The sequence below is a fragment of the Homo sapiens genome, chromosome 15 (genome assembly GCF_000001405.40).
Source record: "Homo sapiens chromosome 15, GRCh38.p14 Primary Assembly".
In the NCBI taxonomy this organism is placed as follows: domain Eukaryota; kingdom Metazoa; phylum Chordata; class Mammalia; order Primates; family Hominidae; genus Homo; species Homo sapiens.
In genome coordinates this window covers 31,858,891-31,875,558 of record NC_000015.10, presented here as the reverse complement: position 1 = coordinate 31,875,558, position 16,668 = coordinate 31,858,891, and the positions used below count along the sequence as shown (strand labels likewise).

The 16,668-nt window shown below is 44.2% G+C and overlaps 1 protein-coding gene across 3 annotated transcripts in view, besides 2 other annotated features; it reads left to right on the top strand.

Annotated features, from left to right (window-relative positions):
- Positions 4,854-4,923: a silencer, noted in NCBI's record as "silent region_6268". NCBI's record gives its function as "represses an Ori minimal core promoter by ATAC-STARR-seq in GM12878 lymphoblastoid cells {active_cell/tissue: GM12878}" and the evidence as "EXISTENCE:reporter gene assay evidence [ECO:0000049][PMID:35858748]".
- The window catches only part of OTUD7A (OTU deubiquitinase 7A), a 395,276-nt gene continuing 383,493 nt past the window's right edge, over positions 4,886-16,668 (top strand). For all 3 annotated transcript variants that reach the window (NM_001382637.1, NM_130901.3, NM_001329907.2), the window contains exon 1: positions 4,886-5,052. The gene's annotated coding sequence lies outside the window, so the exon portion shown is untranslated. The remainder of the gene's footprint in view (positions 5,053-16,668) is intronic.
- Positions 7,419-7,713: a silencer, noted in NCBI's record as "tiled region #11410; HepG2 Repressive DNase matched - State 12:CtcfO". NCBI's record gives its function as "represses a minimal TATA promoter and a strong SV40 promoter by Sharpr-MPRA in HepG2 cells {active_cell/tissue: HepG2}" and the evidence as "EXISTENCE:reporter gene assay evidence [ECO:0000049][PMID:27701403]".

The following is a 16,668-nucleotide window of genomic DNA, read 5'->3' as shown; positions in this document are numbered from 1 at the left end:
GAAAAATTATTCTTAAAAAATGAAGGAGAGGCCGGGCACGGGGGCTCACGCCTGTAATCCCAGCACTTTGGGAGGCCGAGGCAGGCGCATTTTGAGGTCAGGAGATTGAGACCATCCTGGCTGACACGGTGAAACCCCGTCTCTACTAAAAATACAAAAAATTAGCCGGGCGTGGTGGCGGGCGCCTGTAGTCCCAGCTACTTGGGAGGCTGAGGCAGGAGAATGACGTGAACCCGGGAGGCGGAGCTTGCAGTGAGCCGAGGTCGCGCCACTGCACTCCAGCCTGGGCGACAGAGCGAGACTCTGTCTCAAAAAAAAAAAAAAAAAAAAAAAAAAAGAAGAAGAAAAATAGGGACTTACTTGCTGAGGTAATTCACCATCAGACCTGTCCTTCAAGAAATGTTAAAAGATTTTCTCCAGACAGAAGGAAGATGATGTAGGTCAGAAACTTGGATCTATATTAAGAAAGGAAGTGTTGGAGAAGCAATAAATGGAGGTAAAATGAAATCTTTTATTTTTATTTTCATTAATAATTTAAAGGATAACTTCTTATTTAAAGCAAAAATAGTAACAGGTCATTGTAGCATATGGATAAGAGAAAAGACTAACAGCAATGCTACGAGGAATGGGAGGGAGGATTGGGAACACACTCTTATAAGATATCTACGTTACATGTGAAACAATACCATGATTTGAAGGTGAACACACATTAGTAAAAGAAGAAAATCTATATTAGAAACTCTAGGCTGGACATGATGGCTCAGACCTGTAATCCCAGCACTTTGGGAGGCCAAGGCAGGCAGATTGCTTGAGCTAACGAGCTTGAGACCAGCCTGGACAACATGGTGAAATCCTGTCTCTACAAAAATTGCAAAGATTAGCTGGGCATGGTAAGCTACTCAGGGGGCTAAGCTGGGAGGATGGCTTGAACCCAGGAGGCAGAGGATGCAGTGAGCCGAGATGGCACCACCGCACTCCAGCCTAGGCAATAGAGCCAGACTTTGTCTTAAAAAAAAAGCAAAGCAAAGAAAAAAGAAACTCTAGAATGGCCACTAAAAAATTCTTTAAAAAGTATAATTGATACTCTTTAAGAGAAGATAAAATAGAACCACACAAAATGCTCAATTAAAATCGGAGAAGGCAGAAAAAGCCGCCACTGGCAACCAGTAGGAAACAGTTACAAATATGATTGATATTCATCCAAATAGATCAACAATTGTGTTAAATGTGAATGGTCTAAATACACCAATTAAAAGACACAGATTGCTAGAGTAGATAACAAAACAAGACCCCACTATATCTTGTTGACATTAAATATAAAGTATCTGTTTGGTTAAAAGTAAAGGGATGAAGAAAGATATACCATGTTAACCCTGATCAAAAGAAAACTGGAGTAGCTGCATTAATTTCAGATAAAAGGGACTTGAGAAAAAGGAAAATTATCAGGGATGTGAGGGGAGGGATAGGTAAGAAACTCATAATCATAAAGGGGCTAATTCTCCAAGAATACATAATAACCCTAAATATGCATGTGCCTAAGAATAAAATGTCAAAATAAGTGAGGAAAAAATGATAAACCTGAAAGAAAAAATGGTCCAATCCACTATCATAGGATACTTCAACATTTCTCTATCCATGATTGATAAGATCAGATAGGCAAAAAATCGGTGAGGATATAATTGACCTAAACAGCATTATCAACTTTATTTAATTGATATTTGTAGATCTAGCAATAGCACAATACACATTCTTCTCAAGCTGGCATGGAATAATCACCAACATTGGCCACATTCTGATCTATAAAACACACCTTATCAAATTAAAGAAAAATAGAAATTAAACAAAGTATGTCTTCATACCACAATGGAAGTAACCTAGAAATCAAGAACAGAATGATAGCTGGAAAGTCCCAAATTATTGGAAACTAAACAACACATTTTTAAAAAACATTTGGGTCAAAGAGGAATCTCAAGAATAACTAAAAACATTGATCTAAATAAAAATTAAAGTACAACTTTTCTAAATTTGTGGGATGCAGTAAAAGCGGGGATATTTATAGCAGTAAATGTATACATTTGAAAAGAAGAAAAATCTAAAATCAACAACCTAAATTGTCACCTTGGATAATAGAGAAAGAAGAGCAATTTAAGCCTAAAACAAGCAGAACAAAGAGGAATAATAAAAATTAGAGAATGAAATTGAAAATAGAAAACAATAGAAAAAAATCAACAAAACAAAGAAAAAGCTGAAAAGATGATTAAAATTAATAAACCTGTCCAGGTTAACCAAGAAAAAAAGACATTGGGCATAGTTTGCCAATATCAAAAAATGAAAGAGGCGTCATCTCTACTAATTTCATAGATGTTAAAAGAATAATAAAGGTTTATGATGAACAACTTTACACCCACAAGTTTGAATATTAGATAAAAAGGACCGATTCCTTGAATGATACAACTACATTTTACAGAAAAGCAAACAGATCACCTAATAGCTCTGTATCCACAAAGAATCAATAATTAATGAAGTCTCAAAAAAATCACCAGATTCAGATGGTTTCACCAGGGAATTTTACCAAACATTTATGGAAGAATTGATATAGGTTCTTTACAATTTCTTACAGAAAATACAAGTAAATATTACTTCTTAACTCATTTTATGAGGCCAGCATTACCGGCATACCAAAATAAATTAAAGACATTACAAAAAAGAAAACTATAGCCAAATATTTCTCATGAACATAGATGCAAAAGTCTTCAACAAAATATTAGCATATTGAATACAATGGTGTATAAAAACAATTATATACCATGCCCAAGTAGAATTTGACCCAAGTATGCAAGACCGGTTCCTTGAAAATCAATTGAAAATCAATGTAACCCATCATATCAACAAGCTAAAGAAAATAAAATCACATGACCGTATCAATAGATGCAGAAAACGAATTTGGCAAAATCCAACATTCATTCATGATAAAAACTCTGCAAACTAGGAATAGAGAGAACTTCCTAATCTTGATAAAGAAGAACTAAAAAAATCCTACTGCTAACATCATATTTAGTGGTAAGAAACTGGATACTTCCCCTAAATTCAGGACAGGACTGTTAAGAGAATGAAAAGACAAGCTTCCACTGGAAGAAAATACCTGCAAAACACGTATCAGATAAAGTACTTCTATCCAAAATACACAAAGAACTCTTAAAACTCAACCATAAGAAAACAACCTTTTTTTTTTAATGGGCAAAAGATGTGAACAAACATCTCACCAAAGAAGATATACAGGTGCATATGAAAAGTTGCTCCACATAATTTTTCAGTAGAAAATTGAAAATTAACAACGATATAGCACTATATGCCTACTAGAATGTCTAAAATTATAGATGATAGACGGATGGATGGATGGATGGACAGATAGATAGATAAAGATAGCCAATATCAAGTGCTGGTGAGGATGAAGGAAAGGGATTCATATTTGCTGACAGTTATAAAAATGCTATAGCCACTCTAGAAAACTGTTTGGTTCTTATAAAGTTAAACAAATTTACCATAAGATCTAGCAATTGCACTCCTAGATATTTAGTCAACTAATTTAAAAAATTTGTCCGTACAAAACGCTGCATGCAAATGTTTATAGAATGTTTATTCACAGTCGCCAAAAACTGGAAACCACGCAAATATTCTCCAGTGGGTGACTAAACAAAATGTGGTACAAATAATGAGACTCCCCTCAACAATAAAAAGGACTATTACTATACACAATAACATGGATGAATCTCCAAGGTATAATGATGAGGGAATAAAGTCAGTTTCAAAATGTTACATATTGCGTAATTCCATGTATACGACACACTCACAAAGACAAAACCGTAGCAATGGAGAACCTATCAGTGGTTACCAAAAGTTAGGGTTGGCGGGGGCGCTGTTATAAAAGGGCAGAACTAGGGAGCTCTTTATTGCGCTAGTGGTTACATGAATCCAAACAAGGGTTCAAGATCACAGGATTATATATCAAATAACCAATTTTACTGAATATCAATTTTAAAAGTCAAATAAATTATTAAACACTATTAAACATATACAATGTTTAAAGTCAAGCAAAAAGTCCTAAACTAAAAGTAAAATAATGATTGTTTAGAAGTACACCAGGATGGTATGGGTCATCTGCAATATAACGTCCTGTTTGGGATAAGGAAGCGTGACTACATCTACAGGGTGACGTGAGAAGGGCCCAGAGCAGCGAGCAGGTCTTGCCATCAGGGAGGGGAACCATCTGAAGGGGTGGCGTGAAAAAGTCTTTAGAGGAAGGCAAAAAATGGGAAAAGGTCAGAGAACCTTTTTGGGAGGTAAAAGGACCAGCTTTGGATTAGGCGTGATGCACAGGCCCCAGCGCAGGGCGTAGAAACTGCAGCCTGGACAGCCTGGGTGGGAGAAAGTTTGGGATGTTTAGGAAGGAAGGGTGCGCCAGCCAGGGGGAAGAAACGAGACAGGTGGCCGCAGATGGCGCGAGTCAGGCAGCAGGAAAAGGCAGGCTGTTTAAGCAGCCTTTTCCTGCAGTCCAGGCGGAGAGCGCAGAAGGAGCACCCCGAGGGGCAAGCATGGGAGAGCCGGAGCGGGCTCGCGGGCGCGCGGGCGCTGTACGTCCCCTCCTCGGCTCGCGGCCGCGAGCACGCGCTCTCCGTGCCCGGCCCCGGAGGGGCGGGGGCGGGGCACAGGCGCGGCGCGCGCACGTCCGCGCGGGGCGGGGGCGGGGCGCGAACGCGACCGGTGACGTCAGAGGAGGGCGCGCGCCCGGAGGCAGCAGGCGGAGCCGGGAGGCGGGCGTTGTGCGCGGCCGCGGGCGGAGCGGAGGGGCGCGAGGGGCGGAGCGGAGCGCGGGAGGAGGCGGGGGAGGAGAGGCCACCGGGACCGCGAGCGGCAGCTGGGGAGGGGGCCGCGGAGCCCGAGCGGGAGCAAAACAGCTGATCTGGTTTTCCTTTAAAGCGAGAGAAAATGGAAGTCGGGTAGCGGCGACTGCGGCGCTGCGGGCTGGCGGAGCGGAGCGGCGCGGCGCGGCAGGTAAGACGGCGCTGGCCGCGGTGCTGCCGGCGGGCGGCGGGGCCGGGCCCGCGGACCAGGCAGGTGCGCTCTCCGGGCGCGGGGCCGGCGCCGTCTCCTTCCCGAGCTCCGTGGCGAGGCAGGTGGGCGTTGAGGCCGGGCGACCGCGGGGCCGGGGCGCGGGGACGCGGGGGGCGCGGGCCCCGGCTGGGCTCGCCGGCGCGTCTGCATTGCGGGCTCCGCTCCGGACCCCGCGGGCTCCCGGGCCACCGGCTCCGGCCCGGCGTGGCGCGCCTCTCTCGGGCAGGGCGCGGCGCTACCGCTGGGTCGGGGCTGCTGCCTCCGCTCAGCCCTTTGGCTGTCCGCACTGGAACGTGATGCCAGGCGTGGGGCGACCGACCCCTCGGTCCGTGCGCGCGCGTCGGGGGTCCCGCGGCTCTTGCAGACGGCCGGGCAGGGCCCGGCCCCGAGCCGCGCGCGAGGCCGCTCGCCGGGCACCGGAGCTGTGACTGCGTGGGTCCCCGCGGCCCGGCGCACCGCCGTCCCGCTCGCTCTGCTGGGTCTCGCTGGACAGCAGGCAAACCATTAAGGCAATTTGGCTGTGAACCCAGAGGCCTTCCCTAGTATCTCCTCACTGGAGGGGAAAAAATTGCATCTGCGGTGCTTTAAGTGCTCCTTTAAATTTGGGAGATGTCAGTGATGTCATCATTAACTAAAACTTTCCTTCATTGGACACAACCGCTCAAGTGTACCCTCCTCCCTCCCGGTGAAGCTATTGCAGCCCTTTGAGAATCTCTGTAATAAAATGGATTTGCCTCTGCTCTGTAAACTCAGCTACCTCACACAAGTGCAAATGACTTTTATTTCTGTCTATTGGCTTGAGAATGTATAGATTTAAGAGTAGCTGAAGGGAAACTTGTGAGACCCCGATCAGGGAAACGCTTCATCCACAGCACAAGGATCCAGGGGAAAGTCATGTATGACATGCACATGGTTACCGCCAGGTGATACCTTTGTAAATGGAAGTGGGCTGTAAGAGGAACAATTTTTAAAAATATGATGAGGCAGATAATGTGTCCAGGAAAAGGTTGACAGCGGGGCCTAAATCTTTACAGGTCTTAATTGCTTCAGGAAAATCTGCAGGTGTCCTTCACCATCCTCCTCCTCCTCCTCCAGGGTGTGCCCGGAGAAGCCTGCCCTGGGCGAAGGCGGGGAGGCAGGTTCACTAGGGTCCTCCCAGCAGCCGTGTGTCCCACCAGCTTCAAAGGCCTCTTCAAGACCCAAAGAGGGTTCACGAGAACAGAGGTAGATCTGCACGGCACACTCAGTTCTGGATAAACATTCCCCACTAAATGGGATCAACACTCCATTATTTTATTGTGAGTGTGCCATTAGTACCAATTCTTATGGGAACAAAACTAAGCAAGTTCCCAAGGCAATCTGAGTATCTACTCAAGCCTATCATATCGAAAGGATATCCAATAAGGGACAAAAGTATTGACATTTTTGTATTTAATAATTAATGACACCTCCTAATTGGTTAAAATAAGCATGCCTTAAATTGTTAGTGTGATTTTATTGGATCTGTAAGGAATTTAATACCATATGCCACTCAAAAGTTGGGACCTGGTTAGGAACTTCAATCTCTTGAACCCTGTATTGGTGTGAAAAGAATGGGAAAACAGTGGTTACTTAGGCCTTTAGTGTTCAGGCTGATAATGGGTGGAAATCGCCGCTTTACGAAGTATTGCCACGTGCGGGTCTCACTTGGGCCTGGATCATAGATGGCAGGTTTTCCCTTAGAAAGTAACTCCTGAGGCCCCCAAGCTTGGTGGAGAAGGAGAGGGGACACCTTTCTCTGAGCAAGTGTGTGTAATTCTTGGCCTCTGACCTCCTGATGGTGCCGCATTTATTCCCAATGGTGTGCCTAAGTGAGATGAGAAACTGGCTCCAAGTGAGCTGCTTTTGGATGACACTGCTCCCGCTGTGTGTAGTTGCTGTAGAACTTAACTCTTGAGTTGTGGCAGAGATTCTTCTTTACAACATGTCCTCAATAGTATGAAGATTGGTTTTTCAGGGTCTGCATTGCAAACTCTTTGAAAATGGAGTCTGTGAAATCAATCTGGCCCCGTATCCATCTTTTTGTTTTCACCTGTAGACTCGTGAAAATATTCACCACGTTTATGGTTTAACTCGCTGTAGTACTAGTAAAACTTCAAACGGAAGTGTTTCCACTAAATCTTTAGGTATGGGTCACTTATTTCCCCAAAACATTTTAAAACAACCGCTTTAAAGCCTCTTCATCCCGCTTGTATGTTTAGAGTGCTTAAATTTGGGAGTTGTCAGTGATTTCCCAAAAGAGATCACTGTCACATCTTCCGTTTCTAAGAAGTAAAAATTGCCCTGATTTTCTTTCTGTTCCCTTTGGGATATTAAGGTCATTTATTCATGCCTTAGGCCCACGGAAGAAAGGTTGAATTAGCTCTTGTGGGCCAGCAGGGGGCGTGCTAAACGCGGCTTGGCGGGCCTGTGTCAGAGCCACCTTGGGAGTGGATCTCCAAGTTGAGGTGGGTGCATGTGTGTGCGCCGGTGTGCTCCGCCCCCGCCCCCCGCCCCTCCCCCTCCGCTCCCGCATGCCTGTCTTCCAAGAGATGGAAACTTAAGGAAGGGTTGGGGGCACATACTTGAATGACCAGAGGTTGTGGAGTCTGGAATGTAGGCCTCCCTAGCAGAGATTGCTTCAGTGGCTCCATGTCTTTGGAAGGTGGCTCTTAGCACACTTTGAGTCTCAGGATTGAGTGCCTTCTCAGACTGCGGAAGTGAGTGTTAGTTTGGAGAGGAGAAAGTTGACTTCAGTGAACTACAGGCTGGTGTCCTGGTCATGGCGTGAATGTGCCAGCCAGGGCAACCCCGTGGAAATCCTCTCCTGCACACCCTTGATGTTTGCTCCTGGCTTTGACTCCCGATTGACTTAGGCCCTGGGACCCTGTGTGGTAGTACTTCCCAGAGGGGCCTATTTGACCCCTTGCACTGAATTATAGGTGGCGGATGTCCACTTAGGAAGTAATTCCTGTGGCCCCCAAGCCTGGTGGAGGAGGGAAGGGGCACTTTGCTCTGAGCAAGCTGTGTGCAAGTCATGGCCTCTGACCTTCTGATGGTGCCACATTTATTTCCATGACGTGCCTAAATGAGATGGGAAGGGCTCTTGGCCTCAAAATTTCTCTGATGAAAAACGTTTCGTTACTGTGCTTTTATTTTTCCCTATAAAATGAAAACAAGAAAAAGCAACTGTGCTTTTTCACTTAAAATGTGCTTTATCTGATTTTAAGTGTGTGCCAGGTTATTCAACCACATGTTCCCTGGGAGACTTTTCCTCGCAGGGACTGAACTCAGAGAGGCCAGCTTGTGCTCCAGGGCTATTTTGGTGAGTTGGGATGGGTGTTTCCCATGCTTAGATGGTCATTGCAGCATCTGGGTGTGTTACTGAAGACCAAAGACTCCTCTCTCCTACTGAGGTTCCTCATGGAGGCCCCATGCGAAAGGGAACATCACACTTTAAAAGGAAAGAAGTTTCACAGATGCCCTACTAGAGAACTAGCCCAGTGCTATGACTGGGCATTTCTTTATGCTTCTCATTCCATTTAAATTGTGTGGAAAACTGAACTACTGATTTCAAGGGGGCAAATGGGAATAACATGTTTTTCAGCTTTAGTGAATCAGGCTCTTCACCTTGATTGAACACTGTAAATGGTTAAAGGGGAAGCGCCACTACATGTAAAATAGGTGATGCCAAATCCCTTTAGAAGCTGTTCATCCTTGAGGACAAAATGGGAATAAGATATGCTGGTTCTTTTTTGTAACGTATTTAATGTGAAAATATTTTACCCTTGAACCTTGGAAAAAGAATTTTATTTGCCTATTGGTAGACTGCCATGTCTCCCAAAAAGTTTGTGTGTGAGACCAAGAATAAGATGGCCTTAACACAGATGCCACAAGGGGGGAACCGCCTTCATCACACTTTTGGAATGGTGTTCTTCATCATTCATAGTAACAGACGGGAGAAGTGGGTTAAAAATAAGTCTTTAAAAAGCTGAAATGGAGAGAAGGGCCGGACGCTGCCTTATTACTTGCCTGTGTTGTGGAGGCGTGTTTAGCTGGCTGGTTTGCACACAGCATTTCTGGACCAGGAAGTGGGGGAGTATAGACTAGGACTGGGAGGGAGTGGGCCATGCAGCAGCTACAGCTGGCCAAGGTCTGGCCTGTCGTGCTCTAGGTTCCTCTTGGCAAAGGGAAAGAGTTAGTCTCCCATGCATCTAAAGCCTTGTTTGGTAAAATTGCATGATTCCACAAAACCCCAGTCCTTGCTATTAGCAATTACTGCTCTACAGCATCTCACATTCTGAGAAGTCAAATACACATTAATGCTAATACAAGTTTTAAATACATCTCTCTTAGTTAAGTAGATAAGTCTAAAGTAAACTCATTTTGTAGGATTGAAGTATTTTGCGTTTCTCCTTCCAAGGAAATATTTTCTATTTGAGCATATTTTATTCTTAATCTCGTTTTCCTTATAAATATAATGGAAATTTGATGTCTGAATGAATACACATGAGTAAGATGCAGTATTGACTTTTATGAAATATAAAATTAGACCTTGGAAATTCATTTCCTTGTCTGTTCAGCGTTTCATTTGTTTTATTAGATTACTGTTAAGTTTCACATGGTGCTGGGGATTGGTGTGAACAGACCATACACCCATCCCTCTGTGAGATTAGATTAAGTTTCTCAGTTACTGAGACAAAGGTTTAGGAGCTCACTCAAGAGGAGGTGGCTGCCTGGAGTGAGAGCAGACGTCTGTCTGTGGTGCAGACAGGTTGAACCTTGCTACCTCTGAGAAGACCCCAGTTTTCATGCCCCCAGGGCTAACACACCCATCTTCAAATAATTTACCCAAATAATTTCTGCGCTCACATTTTAGGAACTTTCTATGAATTAAGTTCTCCGAGTTTTTACAGTAAGCTTAGGGTTAGCCTGTTAGCCTGTCATGTCTTCGTTGCAGAAGAGACCACACAATGCACAGTGTCCTGGGACTCAGCACGTCCTCCTTCCCCAGATCACCTTACATCATCCCTGAAGTCCATGCAATACCCTTTTATCTTGGGGGTCTAAAAACCATACCATGGTTGCAGCCCATTTCCTCACAATTCCTCTAATGATGATTTGAGGTTTCAAGACAACGTGTGTTATTGTAGTGTGGGCAACACATTTGCATGTATAATTTTTCATGCCTTTTACAAAAATTGTTTGACATCCAAGAGGTACATAGTTAACTTTTTCTTTTTAAAATGTATGAATTGGAGTATTTGTTTTGACTGTCTGTTAAATAATATACCATCTCTTGAAAGAATCATCACTGAACAGTAAAAATAAATGAGACATGCTTCCAGCTCACTTGGACTTGATGACCAGTTGTGTGACCTTGGGCACAACCCCAGGGGGGGGCCACAAGGGCAGAATATCTCTTGGGCCATCCTGTAGGCTTTAGGGTGGAGCAGATGAGTGAGTGTATGCCATGGGTTCTTAAGTTCTAGATTGATAAGTTGTTCAATAAAAGGAACTGGAGACAGTATTTGTCTCACTTACCATCAGCCCAGTTTCTATCCTTTGACAGTTGATGTAGTCATAGTTTGCACTTGTAACCAAGGCATTGCTTAGATGAACTTGCTTTGACTTGTGTGTGTGTGTGTGTGTGTGTGTGTGTGTGTGTAGGAAGAGGAGGTGTGGGTAAAAAGAATGGAGGGGCTTCTGTGGCTTGGGGATTCTTGGAGTTAAAAGTCATTAGCCATGATATAGTTTGGCTGTATCCCCACCCAAATCTCAACTTGAATTGTATCTCCCAGAACTTCCATGTGTTGTGGGAGGGACCCAGAGGGAGGTAACTGAATCATGGGGCTGGTCTTTCTCATGCTATACTCGTGATAGTGAATAAGTCTCACAAGATCTGATGCATTTATCAGGGGTTTCTGCTTTTGCTCCCTCTTCATTTTTCTCTTGCCACCACCACGTAAAAAGTGCCTTTCGCTCCCTGCCGTAATTCTGAGGTCTCCCCAGCCGTGTGGAACTGTAAGTCCAATTAAACCTCTTTTTGTTCCCAGTTTCGCATATGTCTTTATCAGCAGGGTGAAAACAAACTAATACAGTAAATTGGTACCAGTAGAGTGGGGCATTGCTGAAAAGATACTCGAAAATGTGGAAGTGACTTTGGAACTGGGTAACAGGCAGAGGTTGGAACGGTTTGGAGGGCTCAGAATAAGACAGGAAAATGTGGGAAAGTTTGGAATCTCCTAGAGACTTGTTGAGTGGCTTTGACAAAAATGCTGACAGCAATATGGACAATAAGGTCCAGGCCAAGGTGGTCTCAGATGGAGATGAGGAACTTGTTGGGAACTGGAGCAAAGGTGACTCTTGTTATGTTTTAGCGAAGAGACTGGTGGCATTTTGCCTCTGCCCTAGAGATTTGTGGAACTTTGAACTTAAGAGAGATGATTTAGGGTATCTGGCAGAAGAAACTTCTAAGCAGCAAAACATTCAAAAGATGACTTAGGTGCTGTTAAAAGCATTCCATTTTAAAAGGGAAAGAGAGCATAAAAGTTCAGAAAATTTGCAGCCTGACAATGCAGTAGAAAAGAAAACCCCATTTTTTGAGGAGAAATTCAAGCCAGCTTCAGAAATGTGCATAAGTAGCAAGGATCCTAACGTTAAACACTAAGACCATGGGGAAAATGTCTCCAGGCCACATCAGAGACCTTCATGGCAGCCCCTCTGGAGAACAGGTCTGGAGGCCCAGGAGGAAAAAGTGGTTTCATGGACTGGGCCCAGGGTCCCCGAGCTGTGTGCAGCCTAGGGACTTGGTGCCCTGTGTCTCAGCCATTCCACCCGTGGCCAAAAGGGGCCTACATAGAGCTCAGGCTGTGACTTCAGAGGGTGGAAGCCTCAAACCTTAGCAGCTTCCAGGTGCTGTTGAGCCTGTGGGTACACAGAAGTCAAGAATTAAGGTTTGGGAACCTCCACCTAGATTTCAGAAGATGTATGGAAATGCCTGGATGCCCAGGTAAAAGTTTGCTGCAGGGGTGGGGCCCTCATGGAGAACTTCTGTTATGGCAGTGCAGAAGAGAAATGTGGGGTCAGAGCCCCCACACAAGTCCCTCCTGGGGCACTGCCTAGTGGAGCTATGAGAAGAGGGCCACCATCTTCCAGACCACAGAATGGAGATCCACCAACACTTTGCACCGTGCACCTGGAAAAGCCATAGACACTCAACACCAGCCCCTGAAAGCAGCCAGGAGGGAGGCTGTACCCTGCACAGCCACAGGGGTGAAGCTGCACAAGACCACGGGCATCCATCTCTAGCATCAGCGTGACCTGGATGTGAGACATGGAGTCAAAGGAGATCATTTTGGAGCTTTAAGATTTGACTGCCCTGCTGGATTTTGGACTTGCCTGGGCCTTGTAACCCCTTTATTTTGGCCAATTTCTCCCATTTGGAATGGCTGTATTACCAAATACCTGTACCCCCATTGTATCTAGAAAGTAAGTAGCTCGCTTTTGATTTTACAGGCTCATAGGCAGAAGGGAATTGCCTTGTCTCAGATGAGACTTTGGACTGTGGACTTTTAAGTTAATTCTGAAATGAGTTAAGACTTTCAGGGACTGTTGGGAAGGCACAATTGGTTTTGAAATGTGAAGACATGAAATTTGGAGGGGCCAGGGGCGTAATGATATGGTTTGGCTGTGTCCTCACCCAAATCTCAACTTGAATTGTGTCTCCCAGAATTTCCACATGTTATGGGAGGGACTCAGGGGGAGGTTATTGAATCACAGGGGATGGTCTTTCCTGTTCTATTCTCGTGATAATAAGTAAGTCTCACAAGATCTGATGGGTTTATCAGGGGTTTCCGCTTTTGCTTCTTCCTTATTTTTCTCTTGCCACTGCCATGTAAGAAGTGCCTTTCACCTCCCGCCATGATTCTGAGGCCTCACCAGCCATGTGGAACTGTAAGTCCAATTAAACCTCCTTTTGTTCCCAGTTTCGGGTATGTCTTTATCAGTGGTGTGAAAATGAACTAATACAAGCAAGCTCTGTTAAGCCATGCTAAGTGAAGTTCCTCTCACTCAGAGTAGATAGTGAACTCCCCAGGAAGCCGGTTATGTCTCCTGTATCTCAGGTGCTGCTGTGCATAAGAATAACAGGCATACAAGGGCTCATTGGGCAGGATCATTACAGAACGTACTTCCTTATCCTTGGGGATGATGAAAGATTAGTCCTTTACATGAAAAACTAGGGGGTGGGAGAGAGGAAAAGAATAGCATTCCAAAGGTAGAGTCCTGGGAGTAGATTTCAGGGAGGAGAGTGGGCAGTGACTGTGACCTGAGGTACTACCAGAGAGGGTGGTCTTGGCATTTTCCCCTGGGGGAGGCATGACACCAGGCTAGGGTCTGCACTGTCACCCCCACCCTAAGTATATTCCCTTGCAGAGCCTAGAGCTGCTCCCAGAGCATGTCCTTGGCTCTGAGACCACTGGCCATCTCTTGCCATTGGTGTTGACTGCCATGGTGAAGGACACAGGGGTGTCTGTGCCATCTGTGGGATGACATGGTCCCCCCAAGGAAGGATGTGGGTCCTTTGCAAGTACAGCATTAGATTATTAGATTGAGTGAAAACTCTCTGGTTGTCTGTTTAACTTGGCATTGTGGGTCTGCAGCTATTGGGTAGGCACATTGAAAGGCTGTACTTAATCCCTTGGAAATATGTCCTAGAATTGCCAGGATGGGTTGCAGTTCATCCCCAAATCTCTTGATTATTCTGTCTCTACCTTGTTGAGGTATTGAATGTGAACTCAGCTCTTGGGTCCACGTGGTTTTAAGTGCCCACTGACTCTGGGTTCTCAGACACGGCATGCAACCAGTTGGGACATCCCTCCAGGGTCCTCTGCCTGTTCTGGAAGAGGTAGACAAGGTTTCTTCTACCAAAGCTGACTTATCCCATTTACAATCTGGCAAGCAGTATGTTCAGAAATGCATCATCAGAAAAGGTGCTTCAGGGGCCTAGAAAAGGAGTGGATACAGGTGAGCCAGCCCACTGCTTAGCATGTATGGTTTATTAGAAGATCGGTGTGTGGTTGCATTCACATTAGACTCTTTCCATGCCCGTTGACTAGTGACTAGAGAACCTGGTCCAGGCTGGGGAAAGAAAGTGCCCCCAGCCTAGAGGAGGCCTCATTCTGGCTTGGGTCCCCACTCTGGGGATATTCTCTAGGTCTTAACTGAACATGTGAAATGAAGAACCGCAGCTGCCTACTCTGATACCCCTTTCAACTCCATGATTCTGTACAAAATTAGTTCCCTAGTTCTCCCAAAGTGCTGAGTGATCAAGGGGAAGGGAAGCCCTGCTCAATGCTGTGAGAGAACAGGTAGGAAAAATTAGGTGTCTTTTAAAAATATTTATCTCTGGCTGGGTGTGGTGGCTCATGCCTGTAATCCCAGCACTTTGGGAGGCTGAGGCAGGCAGATCACGAGGTCAGGAGATCGAGACCATCCTGCCTAACATGGTGAAACCCCGTCTCTACTAAAAATACAAAAAAAAAAAAAAAAAAAATTAGCTGGGCATGGTGGCGGGCGCCTGTAGTCCCAGCTACTTGGAAGGCTGAGGCAAGAGAATGGCGTGAACCCAGGAGGCGTAGCTTGCAATGAGCCGAGATTGCACCACTGCACTCCAGCCTGGGCAACAGAGCGAAACTCCGTCCCAAAAAATATATATATATACATACATATATATATATATATATATATACACACATACATCTATATATACACACATACATACATATATATATATATATATATATCTCCACTTCTGGGGTCGAGGAGAATACTGAGCATTTGAACAAGTATTTATAATTAGAAATGAGTTGTGTGGACATCGTTCCTCCCTTTGACTCTTAAGCCCTTGAGGAGAAGCTCATGCATTATTTTTTATTACATCTCTGAGGCACCTTGTTCAGAACAGTCTCTCCATTCATGTTTGTTAAATGCATTTAATAGCTCTATGGGAATTAAAATTAGAAATTTAATCATTTTTTCTCGAATTGCTTAGCTCCCATGAGTTCAAAAGCATCGCAGTTGAGAAAGTTGCTTATATAAAATTTGAAACATTTCATACTTAAGCTTGCAGTTCAGTGGCATGCAAAATTGTGTTTACTTGGGTTGCAAATAAACAAAAACCAGATAATTTACTGATTAGTTGTAATGGGACTTGCTTGTCATACAGCAGAGTGTGAGTTCAAAGAAGAATTATAGTTTCAGATTTTCCATTCCATAGATTTTTAAGAATGAAATAAATTAGTTGTACTACCTTGAAAATGTTAGTGATAGAAAAGAGAAAATGGAAGGTCACATGGATATGTCATATTTGAAACAATCCTTAAGGAAAAAAGAAAATTCATAATGGAAGAAAAGACATGTGATCGATTAAGATAATTGATTACAATACCTTCCTATGTTAAAAAATGGTGGCAAATCCTAAACCTCAAAATCTCTTAATATCTCCCCAGAAAGGAAGATACCACTGCCAGGCCTGTGTCACTGCTGGGTACGTGCTCAGAGTTGCGGCTGTCCTGGCTCTCTGAAGGGCCCGGGCCAGAGGTCCTCCACTTCCTATTGAAACGATAGGGGTACTTTAAAAATCTTAATGTCTGGGCACTTCCTCTAGAGGTTCTGATATCAGCAACCAAGCCGCAACCTTGGAACCCATTGGGACTTTTATAAAAGCCCCTATTGATTCTGGGTTTGAGAACCACTAGCTTCAAGGAAGTTCTTGTAACTTTATAAATGCAGGGAGACAGGTCCAGGAGAAACAGGGAGGACCATGAGTTCCTCTTCTCTTCTTATATATTATCCCACAAGGGGGAAAGAAAGTTGGTCTCCTTAAAGCAGAAAATTGAAAGACATCTGCAAGGTGAACTGGTAGAACCTTTACTATTTGATCAAATGATAATTTTATATCACTTAACTGAATATATAGCTGGCTTACAAATGTTTATGTTCATGAGATCTGTTGTATAATGTGGTGGCTAAATTAATAACAATGTATTATAGACTTGACAATTGCTAAAAGTAGAGTTGAAGTGTTTTTACCATAAAAAGTAATAAGCATGTGAGGTAAGGCATACATTGATTAGCTCTATTTAGCCCTTCCATGTACAACATGATGTGTTGTACACCAAAATATAAACAACAAAAACATACAGTTTTGTCAAGTTAAAAAATAAAATAACAACAAAAAAATACAATTTTGTTAGTAAAACAAACAATAGTAAGATGTACAGCCATGCAGAAGGAAATCAAACTGTTTGCCAGGTTTGTTAACTTGCATACAGCATATCATCATGTCTTTGCAGTTTTATAGTGCTTTGCAGTTTGCAAAATACTTTTGTGTAGATTATCTAATTTGATCTTCCCAATAACTCTGTTGTCAGGAGGGAAGTTGTTCCCATTCTACAGTTGAGGAGACTGAGGATGGCAGTTTGTGGTTTTCCACGGTGGTGAGAGTGACTGGCACACTTGGGATGCCCTGTCTTC